Here is a 13713-nt window from a genome sequence, read left to right as displayed (position 1 = left end):
AGGAAAATGTGTACCTCTCAGTCCTTGGACTGAACATGTAGGAAGCCAATTTCCCTCAAGATGAAGAGTAAGGCCTAGGGCGGATTGTGGAGAGCGCCAGTCTGGACATCCAAGTCTGGTGACCAGGCGCCGTCCATGCAGGCTCCAGTTTCCTAGTCCCTGCAGCAAGGCACTTAATCTCTAAGAGCTTCAATTCCACAGTTGTGAAACTCTGTGAAATACTCTAGTGAATAAGCTGGTGCCTGAGGATTTTCTGAGTCCCTTGGAGGTCATCCTTACATTAATGTGATGAACTCAGTGCATTCCTTCCACTCCTGGTGGGGTAATTCTGAAAATTCTTGGACCCAAGTCTTACCTCATCCCTATCTTCACCCATCCATCCTCGATCTGGCCAATAGCGTGCATTTGGCACCCCACAGACTTTCTCTTTTAGCCCAAATTTCTTCCAAATGCATCAGAATAGCCCAGAAACACTGTGACTAACTAGAGCTGTGTCAACAAGGGAGATCCCCACGTTTACCGAATGAGAGGGAACTGAAGATAAGGGCTTTTGCCTAGACAAATAAGGGCAGTAGTCTCTCTCCCCCGTGTCCTGTCACCAGCTGTGGTTCCATTCCCGAGGCACAGCCTATCCCCAGTGCAGAATCATGGAATCAGCATCTCAGGAGGGCAGGAACTAGACCAAGACCTTGTGCCTCTGAGCTCTTCCCATTGCTCTCCATGCGCCCTTCTTGGTATGTATGTACATAATTGTGCCTATAATTATGTAAACATACATGAACCTTCTACTGTTGTATTAACAATGCCATGTCTGCATCTAGGGTGTTATTAATATAGCTGGGGAAACCAAAAGCAGTAATTTCTGCTTGTGGTTTCTGAAGAAATGTATGCAAAGCAATTTGTATAATCTAAAGGAGCACGTGGGTTGGATATGGATTCCATCAGGCAGATGAGCTCTCTGCCTTGTGGTTATGCCATAAATATACATAAGGCGGGCCCACCCTGTATGAGAATCATAGGTTCCATATTTATGGCATGTGGAATTGGATAAAGATTTGGGATGTGCTGTGCATGTGGCCTGTGTAACCAGGCTGCGTTTGCCAGGAGGAGGCTTGCAATGCCCCAGCAACAGTGTGACTGACCACTTTCTCATAGGCGACCTCATGATGACCTGTTGGATGGGAAGAGACCAAGAACAGGCTGCTGCCTGGCTAGGGGAGGCTGGAAAAGAGTTCCTTAGTCTTTCTCACCCACTGGCAGTAAAAAGGAAGGCATTCTTTCAGAGGCCTAGGCCTTGCCTCAGCCCCGTCTGGGTCCACATTGTAAACAGTGTTTTGCAAAGACATAGGACAGCCCTCCCCCGCCACCTTGAGCACTCATTAAACTTGTTTTTCTCTGACTTCCCCAATTCCCTGGTCTTTGGTATGCTGCATTGCTGTTGACAGTGACCAGGGAGTTGAAATCGAGTTCCCACATTTCTGTCCCAAATGTCACTATTCCCTCTTCCTTCCCTGCACACCGGGAAGGCATTTGCAAACCTTCCCTCTGCTCTGAGCAGAGCAGAGCAGAGCAGGCGGTTGCCTTCATCTCTGCTTTGCTTTTCTGCTAACTCCTGTTGTCTGAATTTCACTTTCAAGCCCACCACTTAGCACCAGTTAGCTTGGCACAGTGCCCACCATCCAGCAGCTACAAAGAGAAACTCAGTGGTGGCACTCGGCATGGACGAAGCCTCTTCCTCCACTGCCCCCAAGTCCCTCCCCAACCCCCACCTCCCCCCATGGCATCAAATCAAACTGCGGCAGACTTGACAAATCTATTTGGCACGGTTCACTCAACTACTTCAACCCCAACAGCCCAGAGAGCTGCGCTGACGCACCGTGAATGAGGGGGAATCTGCACATTAAATACAGATATCTGAACGAAAGATCTGCTAATGAAGGGGCAGCTGAGACCATCCTTGCAGGGGAGACAAGGAAAGCCCCTGGGCGTCCACCACACCCGCAGTGGGGTGAAGGAGCTTGGAGAGTGGGGCGATGCCTAATTGGCAGGCTCTCCATTTTCCTGCCTCCTTCTAAGTACACAAAGGATGAATTTCTAATGGGGAAGAGAATGGGCTTTTCCTCTGCCCCAACTCCATTTATTTGGGCACGACTAATTCAGTAAAACAAAAACAAAAACAAAAACAAAAAAACTCTCAAGTTACCCCTTGGCTGCTGGGGAACTAAATCTAGCCAAGTGGGGAAAGAGGAGGCAAAAGAGAGAGAATATATCCATTATGAAAAAGTTGAGAAAAATAATTCTGAAAACCAGAAAGCTAAATTCAATTTCAGGAATATCTTTCCTGAAGAATGAATACCAGGGATAAAGCCAGGGAGGACAGCATTCTATGAAAATGTGCAGTGCTAAGGTATTTCCAAAAGCAGATTTCCTACAAATGATGTTTTAAATAGCATCCTGGTCCATCTGCATGCTTTTAAAACAGCTTATGCTACAGTATCCCTCTGGGCCTGTGCTGCTTAGTCATTGCGCCTGGACAGGGAGACAATCAGGTGAGCCCCACTCCTCTCCCCGGGGACCACCCCTGCCTGGCTTCTGGCCCTCGTCTGCTAGCTGAGCTTCCGAGATCTACCGGTTTATAATTGAAAAGGGTGGGGTGGAACCAGGTCTCAGCCCCCAAGCTCCTGGCACCCAGTGCCAATTCAGGCTGGGCATTCCCAACGGATGCTTGGTAAGTCTTTCTGAAACCAAGTCAGTGGGAAACCAGACCTGGCCTGGCACATCTTTCAATTGCTAAGTACCTCACTTTCCTTATCGTGGAAATCGGGCAATTGTGTGCATGTGTGTGAGATACCTGGTAATATCCAGAAGCCATGGTTTTCAGATGAGTGGTACCCCGTTACTATGGTGATTTTGATTTTTTAAAAATCTACTCCTTTTCCCGTTTCCCAAGTGAGACTGCCAACATCACAGTTCAGAATTTTCTGGGTCTGAGGTTTCCAGCTGCACCAGTCAGAGCAAGCTGCCTCGGGGCAGTGACAGGGGCTGAGGAGATTCCCTTTGGAAAAGATCTTTGGCCTCCCTAGGCTTGGCCACATGTGCCCCATTTTGATAATTCACACTCTGACAGACCAGGGCTTGGTGGAACTGTAATGCTACAGGAGAGACCCTCTTCCTCCCTCCCTACCTCCTTTTTAGGGAAGGACAGGCAGCCCCTAGGAATCCCCCAGACATCACACTCTCCTTCCAGACCTCTGCACCAGCTCCTGCTCTGCAGGGGGCATCGTGCCCTGTGTTCCCATCACAGATACCCCAATCCTACCCACACAAGCCCCTGGCTGTTTGCAATAAGCCCCCATGGGCTGAGTGTGCTGTGTATATACACATAGAGCCAGCACATCGCCTGTGCCAGCTGCAGACCCAGAATGTCATGTCTTAAGAAAGTGGAGTGCCAGACATTCATCCATATGTATACAACAAAAGCCCCACATCACCCACACAGACCACACCTCCGGGAGCCGCAGATGCGGGAGGCACCAGCAGAGAGAATTCAATGCCTCGCCGCTAAGCATGATTGCCAGTTCAGAGCCCATCCCCAACAAACTGAATTTCTCCTCATTATTTATTGTCCTTTTTCTTCTCCAGGACATTGTGATTCCCTCTCAGGATTTGTGCCCTTTCATTTCCAGAGCTCGGTAACTCCTGAACTATAGTATCATGTGGTTTTGTGATTGTTAACCCAGCATGTGGAAGGGACTCAGGCCATAAATGTTCAGTGAATCCTGGGTGGGGAGAAGTGGACTGGGGACATATTTTCTCCTTCATTTGAAGTCAGAGAACACTCTGCAAGCTCTCTCTCTCTGCTGCGCAAGATGCAACAGCAACTGGCTGTCAGAGAAACGGTGTTTTCCAATCGCTTTAGCCTAAGAGAGAAGATTTTCAAGGCCAGCACGACCCTTGCCTCCATCAATTATCTGAGCCTGACTACACAAGGCCCTCTCTCCTGTAGGAGGTCGGCTTAAAGCTCCCCTGATCCCATCCCTCCTGCCCTGGTCCAATGTGCCTTTAAGGTAGGATCATGGATTTACCTTGTGGTTTTTGCCATGCCGGTACACCATCCAGTCCTCTCCATTAGTGCTGACTTCCAGCTTGTAGGATTTGACATAGTAGCCATTCTGTGTTTCCCTGGAAATCGCTCCCTGTGTTGCGATGGCCGTGAGCATGGTTAAAAAGCGCAGGTCCACCTGGGGAATAGAGGGCTGGAGTAAGAGACCACCATTCCCAACACAGGGCAGTGTCTTGTTTTTTTCCAAAGGACACAATCATTAGACTTTGCTTCCAACCTGTATCTGTGATTCACTGAGACATACTTGTAATTAGTATCAGTTTGCAATTCCATTGGACGATTAAACTCACATTATCTTACACTAAATCAGACACCTTGAAAAGTTAGGTTATTTTTCTTTTTTCTCTCTTTTGCAAATATGAAGGGACAATACTCGATTTTTCTCAATCATTGAACATCTAGAGCTATAATCCCTTCTTAGTAAATGATGGCCTGCCTTGGACTGTGGAAGCAGATGCTGCTTTAAAGAAACAAGGTTGAATCTACTCCACTCTACTCCTGTCCAGTTCAATCCAACTCACTTATAATGCCCTAGTTCCAAAAGTCACACTCATAGAGGCATCCCCTCCCCACACCCTCTCGCTCCATTGTGTATTTAGTTGCTCAGGTCACTAAGGGGTCAAAGGGCATGTAGAGTCTGCCCAAGCAATTAGGCTTATGCACCGAGTCCTGACCTTTTGCTCTATGAGGAGGATGGCCAACATTTTAAGGTACTTCCCCTCCCACAATGCCAAACCCATTTGGAAATTGCTGGATGTCATTCCTTTGATGGCCATGGTGTTTCTTAATGGCAGTCTCCATATGACCAAAATGTAGCTAGCACACACTGGCTAAATTCAATTCAGTAAGCACTTATTGGTGACCTACAATGTGCTCAGCATTACTAAACATTTGAATAAGTAGTACATAGTGCTGTCTACACGTATGAGAAACAGGTGGATAGCAATAGGCGAAAGTATATGATTAAGGTCAAAGATAGGGGATGCCAGTTATACAGAACTTTCTGGAAGTTTTGCAGGCTGCGAGGAGATGGATTTTTGGAGAGGCAGAGAGAAGAGACAATGACAAATGGCCCCAGGGCTTACTGTTAGAACCTCTGTGGACTCCCTGGAGTTTCTAAGTGGTGTTTCTCCCTTTCCTGTTGTCTGCTTTGCAATATCCTTCTTAGAGCAGAGGTCACTGTGTCGCCTCAGAGCTAGGACAGGCTTGTCAGTGGGTCACAAGGCTGTCTTACGTGTGTCATAAAAGCAGTCACTGCTCTGGTGTGGAACTAGTAGCTTGCTTTCCCCCTGTTTACTTCTTCCCAGGGGATGAGAATTGGAGCAGTGTGCAGTGCGGGAAGATTACTCAACATGAGCTGCAAGGTTTATTCAGAATAAAGCAAACAATGGTCTGAAGAGATGCTGCCGAGCATCTGGGGCACCTTGAGTTCTGTTCCTGGTAGTGACATTTTCCTATGTGTTCTTCTGATAGCTCTGTGCAAAACCTTCCTGGCAGGGCTCTCTCCAATAGCAAAGATCATGAGAAGCTGTCATGTGCAGCTAGCACCTCAACAAACCTCCCCTTAGGAGAATGCCCCCCATGTCCCTGATGCCTCCCTGTGCCAAGAATGAGGAAGATCCAAACAGCTTATATAATGTTCCTTGGATATCTATAGTGATAGGGCAAACAGCATCCTGGCCAAACAACTTCTCCCCAGGCCCAGTAATCCCCACAAGGGCAGGGGCAGGCTCCCTCTGATCAGTGTATGCCAGCATGTAACCCAGTGCCTGGCATACACATCTGTTTGGATGAATGAATGAATGGAGTTCTCAGGTATGCTGTGTTTATTTTCTTTGTGTCCTCTGCCTACTGTATTTGAGGAGCTACCCTCCTACCCCAGCAATACATACACACTCTCACATCCTCTGGTATCTGCACAAGTACCTGGAGATACTCCTTGTTGGAATCCAAGTTGGGGGTCCAGCCATTGTCATCACCATGGAGCCGGCTTTGTTGAGGGGTCCACCTCCCATCAGAGTAGGTAGATGAGGCACTGATCTGTTCATTAGCAATCCGGCCAGACTCCATGCCCAGAGGAACATTGCACTGAAAGTCTGGGGAAAGCAGACGGTCAAATGCAGTTAGGCCTTCCAACCTCATACCTCGGGATCCCCCAAATGCTGCCTCCCTTCTAGGGACAAGTCCTTGCAGGCACTTCCTCATTTAAAAGACCCTAATTATATGCTCACATTTTAAAAACAACTACATCAAGTCATGGAGCTTGACAACCCCTCTGGGTCTGAGAGAAACTAAATGGGACCTAAAAGAAATCAGGCTATGGATAAATAAGAGAATCATCATACAGATTAAAAATACAATCTAAAGCACAAGAACTGTTATTGCTGCAGGCTACAGATGCCAGATGCACCATTACTGCAATACAGGTAAATGTGAGATAGACTCGTGGCGATTTGGGTGAGCTCATACATCGTGGGAAGCCTGCTTTATTAATAAACACCCAGGAGGCACTTTTGCTTCTTTCTTTTTTCACTCAACTGTCTTGTGAGTTCTGGCACAGAAGACAGACATTACAAAGCATAAATACTTGTCTTTGGGAAATCTCTCCATGAGCACATGCATGTCACTCTCTATTCCCCCGCACCACCTGTCTGGACAAATAGACCCAGAAGTCACTTACTCTGGCCCTGTGCTGTCAGTTGCATTGCTGTCCTTCTATGAATGCCATCAACACTGATCGATATGTGTGTGTGCATGTGTCTAAGATCGGCCAGCAATCCTTATCAGGTATCAACCTATTCTTTACTCTGTGACTGCACTGACCATTCACGGGACCTGGTGCAATTTGCCATACTGTTTCTTTGTCACTCAATCTTCAGAAGCTCTTTGATGAAAAAACAAATGCAAAACCCAGCAACCTTCCTGCAGGCCAGGCTGCCGTGTCTGTAGTTATATATATGGTGAGTTGTCTGCAATCAGGGTAGGATTTCCACAGCTTGAATCTTTCTTAAAAGTGCTTCTTCAGTCTTTAAAGTTATGTGGGGCTGGACATGGTGGCTCACACCTATAATCCCAGCATTTGGGGAGGCCAAGGCAGGCAGATCACTTGAGGGCAGGAGTTCGAGACCAGTCTAGCCAACATGGTGAAACCCCACCTCTGCTAAAAATACAAAAATTAGCTGGGCATGGTGGCGCATGCCTGTAGTTCCAGCTACTCGGGAGGCTGAGACACGAGAATTGCTTAAACCCGGGAGGTGGAGGTTGCACTGGGAAGAGTGAGATTGAGCCACTGCACTCCAGCCTGGGCAACAGAGAGAGACTCTGTCTCAAAAAAAAAAAAAAAAAAAAAAAAAAGTTATCGTTTGGGTTTTTAAGTAGAAATGGCAGCATATTTGAAACACATGTCCAAGAGCAGCTGATTTGAAGATGTTGCTCAGTGCTGAGGGACTGCAGGTCCCACAGCAGCTGTGATCAGAGTGATAGTTTTTAATTCCTTGCTTGGTGCCTGGCACATACTAGAAGCTCCACAAACTATCTTTGGTGGAAGGGTGAAGTCCAAGTCTAAGCAGTTGTACCAATCTAGTCAGGAAAACATTACCCAGGCCCAGAGATGGTTAATGTCAAAAAATCCAGAGAAAGAGAGGTTTAAAATGGTTCACTTTTGTGACAATTGCCCCTGAGATTTTGAGAGGGAAAAAAATGGCCACAGACTAAAAAAATGTTAGCACAGGAGGGGCCCTGTATAGATCATCCTAACTAGCCTCTCTTTCATTCATAGATGAGGAAACTGAGGTATGAGATGGTACCATGACTTTCCCTGAAAATAACTAATTCTTGTTACACACATATATATATTTTTTAAAGAAAGAAGCACCCAGATTGAAATGTGTTCTTTTCTCATCAACCTCTTCCTGGCAAGAGGATGTGGGCACCTCTAAACTCAGATGCCACCATAAATTCCGTAGAGTTCCCATCTCCTCCCTCATAAGAGCTCAGCCCCCCTTCACCTGTACACCCTCACAGCCCTGACGGAAGGACAGGACAGAGGTTCCCAATCGGCCAACTCACTCTCTAGTGGCTCTTGGTGGACCAGGTAGTAACGCGCAGAGAAGCCATCCTTGGCCACCGCCATGTCCGTGTGAAAGGTCAGGGAGAGGATCCCCGTCGATGAACGAAGTTCAGAGGGTGTTTTGGTCCCACAGTACTTGCCAATCAGGGGGCCAACTGGACATTCAAGACAAAGAGAAGTCAGTGGAAATCAAAATGTCAAACTTGGTTTTCACTCCGTTTTCCCTTCCCCTCATTGCATTTCATTCAGTGGAGCACACTTTGTACATCTTGCCATAAAAACCAAAGATATGTTTCAAGAACAATGGCTAATATTTTTCCTGCACATCAAAAAGCACTTTCACTTTTTCATTAAAAAGGTACAGGCCACTTTCACTGGCTTCATTCTGTTCTCAGTGGCCTGGAAGATGAGCTGGAAAGGTATCATTACAATGTCTGTTCTACAGAGGAAGAAACTGAAGTTTGGAGAGCGCATGTGATTTCTTTATTCTTACTGCTAGGAAATAGCAGAGCTGGGCCTACAACCCAAGTTTTCTGACTAAGTCTTGTGATTTACCCAGGAAATGAAATTGCTCTTTTTGCTTAGTCATCAAGTCTCCTTTATATTAGAAAAAACTTACAATGACTACAAAAGTGAAAGATTTGTTCCTCTCCAATACTAATTAGACCCAAGATCCATGTTGGTCTTCACCTGCGAAGTACTGGTGGCTGTTAGCCTTGGGTGATGTACCTTTTCAATATTTATGACTATATTAATGACAATTTTAAAATTATAGTAATAATGATGATGATAGCAGCTAACTTAACACAGATAAGGCACAGATAGGGTAAGGGATTTGTCTAAGGTTGCACAGCTGGGGAGTAGCAGAGCCGGGAGTTAAGCCCGGCCAGTCTGGCTCTGGAGTCCTTCTGTTTTGTCACAGGGGTTAGCCACTGAGCCACCTTCTATCCTGACAATTTGGAGTAGAAATGAACACTTTAAGTTTTCTCATCCTTTCCAAGTATCTATTTAGTCTCCTATCCTTTTCTAAAGAAATATTTCCAAGAAAGTAGACAGCCTTCCTGTAATTTCTCTCAAGCTATCCTTAGTGAAGGGGAAGAAGAGAAAGTCACCATGGGTCATATAAGAACTCATAGGAGCTTTGAAGTCTTTGTTCTTCCTCTTTATCATCACTAAAGCAATTAACAGGCAAAGGCCAAGCTACTGAGGAATGCCTCATGACATCACTCACCATGTGGAATGCCATCCCAGATGTCCAGCCAATCGTACTTGCAGTCCCCCTCTCCCACCTGCAAAGGGTCATGCTCCAGGTCAAAGATCAGGAACTGCAGGATGATCTCCATCTTGGGTTTGGCCAGGATGGTAAAGGTGCAGTCCAAGTTGTGTGGATACTTCTCAGGAAACCCAGGAGATTCGATGGTCCCGTTGGGGCTTGTGAAGTTTTTTGAGCAATCTTCAGAGCCTGTATGTAAAAGAGAACTGTAGCACTAAGAAGAAGATGCCTTTCTTTGTGGCCTCTGTCACATGGGTTATTTAAATGTTTGGCCCCAAATCCCCCTGCTCTTGAGGTTTTTGTTGCTACTGGAGTGGCCCTTGAAGCAACATACTCTTCACATGCACGTTTCAAGCCCTCATAAATTAGGGAGGCACAGCTGGCTTGCTCTACATAATTATTAGAGTGAGAGCAGCAATTGAGGAATTGGGGAGTGGGGTGGAGGTACAGAGAAGTGTGTGTGTGTGTGTGTGTGTGTGTGTGTGTGTGTGTGTATGAGAGAGAGAGAGAGAGAGAGAGAGGGATTCTCTTGAAAAGAGGAACAGAGTCTTCTTTCTCAATTACTCAGCTGCTCACTCCAGAAATGTAAGTTATTTCAATCCTTAAGGAAGCCTTGCTGATTGCCAGCAGGGAAAACAATGTTACCCCTTATTTGTTGCTGACCTCAACACTAGCCCCTATTGTACCACAGCCAACGAAGTGCCCCCTTCTCCCTCCAAGATCCAAGGTGCCTCAGGGGAGGGGCAAAGGGGAGCTTGGGTCTCATTCATGTCATGACTATATTAAAACGAGCTGCTCTGTAGTGGTCGGACAATTAACAATCGATGTTTTTAGCTGGTGGATCACAGCAGGCCGTTGGGGATGTTAAAGGCCGCTCCGGCAACAAGTTTGGAAAAATGCAGCAGTGCATTGACATTTGGAAGGCTTCTGGCTCCTTTGTGGTGTGGATGGCCTTGTTTCTCTCCTGAGCTCTTGCGTCTGCTTTCTTGGGACGCATGGAGGCATCCTGATTAAATGCGGCACACATTCGCATCCTGGTGCGAGCTTGGATGGCAGCAGGAGCAGGAACAGGAGCTCATAAGAGGATTACAGCCACCCTATCTCTTAATGCCTCTAGGTGGAGTCATATTAAAAGGGTCCTTGTGCTTTAACCAGCCACCATTTGCCAGGGCAGCACCACAGATGGGTCCCGGGAGCACTGCAACCCAGACCCATGGACCCACGAAGCACGAGCTCATGCACATTCACGCAATGAATGAAAGTGCTGGACAATTAGAATTGATTTCACTCGTTATGTTCAGATTTTAAAAGAAGAAAAGGAAGCAGGATTTTTGAGGAGGATAATAGACACTCTAAGCATAAAAAACACAACCAACCAGAAATACTCGATAAACTGGGTGTTTACTGTCAGGAAGTGTCCTCTGGGGCTCACACTGAAATATAACTAGGTGATGTCAATACACTGATCTGAGCCTGCAGCGATGCCTTTATCCGCAGCTCCTGTAGGGGGCCTCTCATTGAGTCTCTTTATTGATGACAGCATTCTGGAAAGAGGCAAATGTCTGATTTGGAAGAAGTGCCATGCAAATAAATGCGGATGGAGGAGTTGCAACTTTCTTCAGCACCAGACAGAAAATTCCAGTATCTCCTACCTATCCATCCATCACTTCCTACTTTCCACCTTGTGCTGTGCTTTGGCAGGGTAGGGACTAGGAACACACGAGGGCAAGGGCTAACCTTTGCATGGGTTCTGTGGAGGCTCTAAGCAGCGAATCTCAGAGGCTCTGCACCCCATCATTCATATGCATGGCAGCAGCAGGTCAGGCCGAGTTTTCAATGGGCAGCTAGTCCTGGAGGGATGAGCTGGGGCTGCCTCCCCCAGCTTTGTTTATGATTGGGCTTCGGACTCCTGAGGGCCTCCTCAATGGCCCGGGATGAGGCAATTCAGCAAAGCCAAGCCAGCTGGCGGGTCTTCAGGGGGCCAAGAGGAATTTTGAAAAGGTTAGAGTTTATGGCTGCTGTGCAGCATTCTTCATGCGGGCCACTCAGCTGAGCCTCACACATGGTTGTGAGGAAATTAACTCTCTATTCACTTCTTGCTTGAGAGCTAGAAAGAGCATCCTGACATGCCCTCTTAGAGCTTGCTCTATTGTCATTCCCTTAGAAGGCAAGGGGAATGTCCACCCCCCTGGGAGTGGGGAATTTTCTGGCGGAATCTTTCTTTGGTTCCTGTCATTGGTAGGGCACAAGTGCTTCCACGATGGACATCTAGTGAGTCTAAGAGAGGCTTGGAGAATGTGAAATTTGAAAGTATCCATAGTTCCCAGGGTCCTGAGCTCCTGCATTTGACTGAAAAGAAACTTCAACCTTAGGTACTTAAGGCAAAAAAAAAAAAAAAAAAAAAGAAAGAAAAAAGCATTTCTGATATATGGCTATAAATGGGTATATCCTTTGGCTTATTTTGAAGGCGGTGGAAAAACTTTTGTCCAGTTTTATCTATTTTTATGCAGAAAAATAAAACCTGTCTGTTAACATCATGCATTCATCTCTAATCGTACCATCTCACTGTTTGCAGCATCACAAAAGCAGCTGAATAGCAGATGCCAGGAAGAGATCTCAGAAAAGGAGGCAGAAGCTGGCTGGCTCTTGCAGACATCTGCCTTATCCAAGATCCTTTTCTGAGATGTGTTAGAAGGTTTAAAGGTTAAACGAAGAACTCAAGTCAACAAATACTCAAGCCCACTCAAGGCTAAGATTGTCTACAGAAGCTGGGGGATTTGGGTTGCAGCGAATGATTTCATAGGAAAAGACTCTGCTATGAAAAATGTCCACTCTGTTTTTCCGCTGTGAATTTTACAATAACTCTGCAAGTAGAAGAATCTATAGGTATCAAGACATTTAAAACACAGTGGATTTACCCAAAGCTGAGTTTGCCTTCCCCGCAGAAGGTGAATTCAGTTCCTGAATTCAGGAAGTGGAGGCAGTAGGCACTCCGAGTTTTCTCTACCTCTGTGAATGACCCCAAAAATGTCAGTTTCTGAAGTGTCACAGGCAAACAGGAAAGAAAACCTAATCTTGAACTTATGGTTAAAGGAGCTTCTGGAAAAAACCAAACACACACACACACACATTTTCCACTGATTTTGTTTTCAATGTGACATTTTACGTTTAAAAATTCCTTTTTTTTTTTTTTGTTTCTGTTCTGCTCATGGTATCTTGATTTGAGATCTTTTAAGTATGTAAGTTGTTCTGGCTTACCCTTTTAAATGTAGACAGTCTGGTAACATATAGAATCTTTTATACACCACTTCACTTAGGGCAGACATGAACCTTCCACGCCAGCCACATGCCCTGGTCTGCACTCACACTGTGGGTCCTACAGCAGAGCCTCACCAGGGTAATGTACCATCGAAGGCTTCTAGAGCCCTCTGTATGGCTATTTGCGTATCTGTGTTTACAGTTTCCCCCGCTTCTTCCTCTCTATGAATCCGACTAGCAAACATAGCTGTGTTTGTTTGGATTTCTTCAGCATGTCCACCCATTTCTTTCATGTTCTGTGGATGACGTAAACTTTGTATATTTTCTCTCCTGACTCCAACAATGGAAATGTGGGTATAGGACAAGGCACCTGCATGAATGCTCATTTTTCTAAACTTCTCTGTTTTGAATTTTGCTCCCTTGCACATTTCTGCACTTTATACAAGGTTGACTTTTTTTTTTTTTTGAGATGGAATTTCGCTCTTGTCGTCCAGGCTGGAGTGCAATGGCATGATCTCGGCTCACTGCCACCTCCTCCTTCTGGGTTCAAGTGATTCTCCTGCCTCAGCCTCCCAAGTAGCTGGGATTACAGGCACGTGCCACCATGCCCGGCTAAGTTTTGTATTTTCAGTAGAGACCAGGTTTCGCCATGTTGGCCAGGCTGGTGTCAAACTCCTGACCTCAGGTGATCCGCCTGCCACAACCTCCCAAAGTGCTGGGATTACAGGTGTGAGCCACTGCGCCCGGCATATATAAGACTGACTGTCATGCGGACAGTTGCTCTTCCAGCAGCAGGTGGGTATGACGGCAGGTACGAGTGGCCCTGAGAAGTCTATGGGCTCTCATCTGCTCTCTTACATTGCCAGGAGTGTGGCTGTTGTTGGCAGGGCTTTCTCTTACAATCTCTTCACTAGGCAACCCCAATCCTTAAAGCAGGCCACCCCATTTCTCCAAGCTGAAGCCACCTAGCTCCGTTGGCTGGCACCATTG

The 13713-nt window shown here is 46.4% G+C and overlaps 1 protein-coding gene across 16 annotated transcripts in view, besides 2 other annotated features; it reads right to left on the bottom strand.

Annotated features, from left to right (window-relative positions):
* NRP2 (neuropilin 2) overlaps positions 1-13713 on the bottom strand; it is a 115631-nt gene that overhangs the window by 66000 nt on the left and 35918 nt on the right. For all 16 annotated transcript variants that reach the window (XR_007083522.1, XR_923057.4, NM_201266.2 and 13 more), the window contains 4 exons: positions 9424-9654; positions 8192-8347; positions 6050-6219; positions 4086-4241 (listed from right to left, as the gene is read on the bottom strand). Coding sequence is in view for 14 of the 16 variants with exons in the window: in NM_201266.2 (NP_957718.1) it covers positions 4086-4241; positions 6050-6219; positions 8192-8347; positions 9424-9654 (713 nt within the window). In the remaining 2 variants the exon portion in view is untranslated. The remainder of the gene's footprint in view (positions 1-4085; positions 4242-6049; positions 6220-8191; positions 8348-9423; positions 9655-13713) is intronic.
* Positions 10760-11323: an enhancer, noted in NCBI's record as "OCT4-NANOG-H3K27ac-H3K4me1 hESC enhancer chr2:206585533-206586096 (GRCh37/hg19 assembly coordinates)". NCBI's record gives its function as "activates a minimal SCP1, AML or CMV promoter by ChIP-STARR-seq in primed H9 embryonic stem cells {active_cell/tissue: H9 hESC(primed)}" and the evidence as "EXISTENCE:reporter gene assay evidence [ECO:0000049][PMID:30033119]".
* Positions 11324-11889: an enhancer, noted in NCBI's record as "OCT4-NANOG-H3K27ac-H3K4me1 hESC enhancer chr2:206584967-206585532 (GRCh37/hg19 assembly coordinates)". NCBI's record gives its function as "activates a minimal SCP1, AML or CMV promoter by ChIP-STARR-seq in primed H9 embryonic stem cells {active_cell/tissue: H9 hESC(primed)}" and the evidence as "EXISTENCE:reporter gene assay evidence [ECO:0000049][PMID:30033119]".

Source organism: Homo sapiens, chromosome 2, assembly GCF_000001405.40.
Source record: "Homo sapiens chromosome 2, GRCh38.p14 Primary Assembly".
Taxonomy (NCBI): Eukaryota; Metazoa; Chordata; class Mammalia; order Primates; family Hominidae; genus Homo; species Homo sapiens.
The sequence above is the reverse complement of the archived record's forward strand: the minus strand, read 5'-3'. Positions and strand labels throughout refer to the sequence as shown.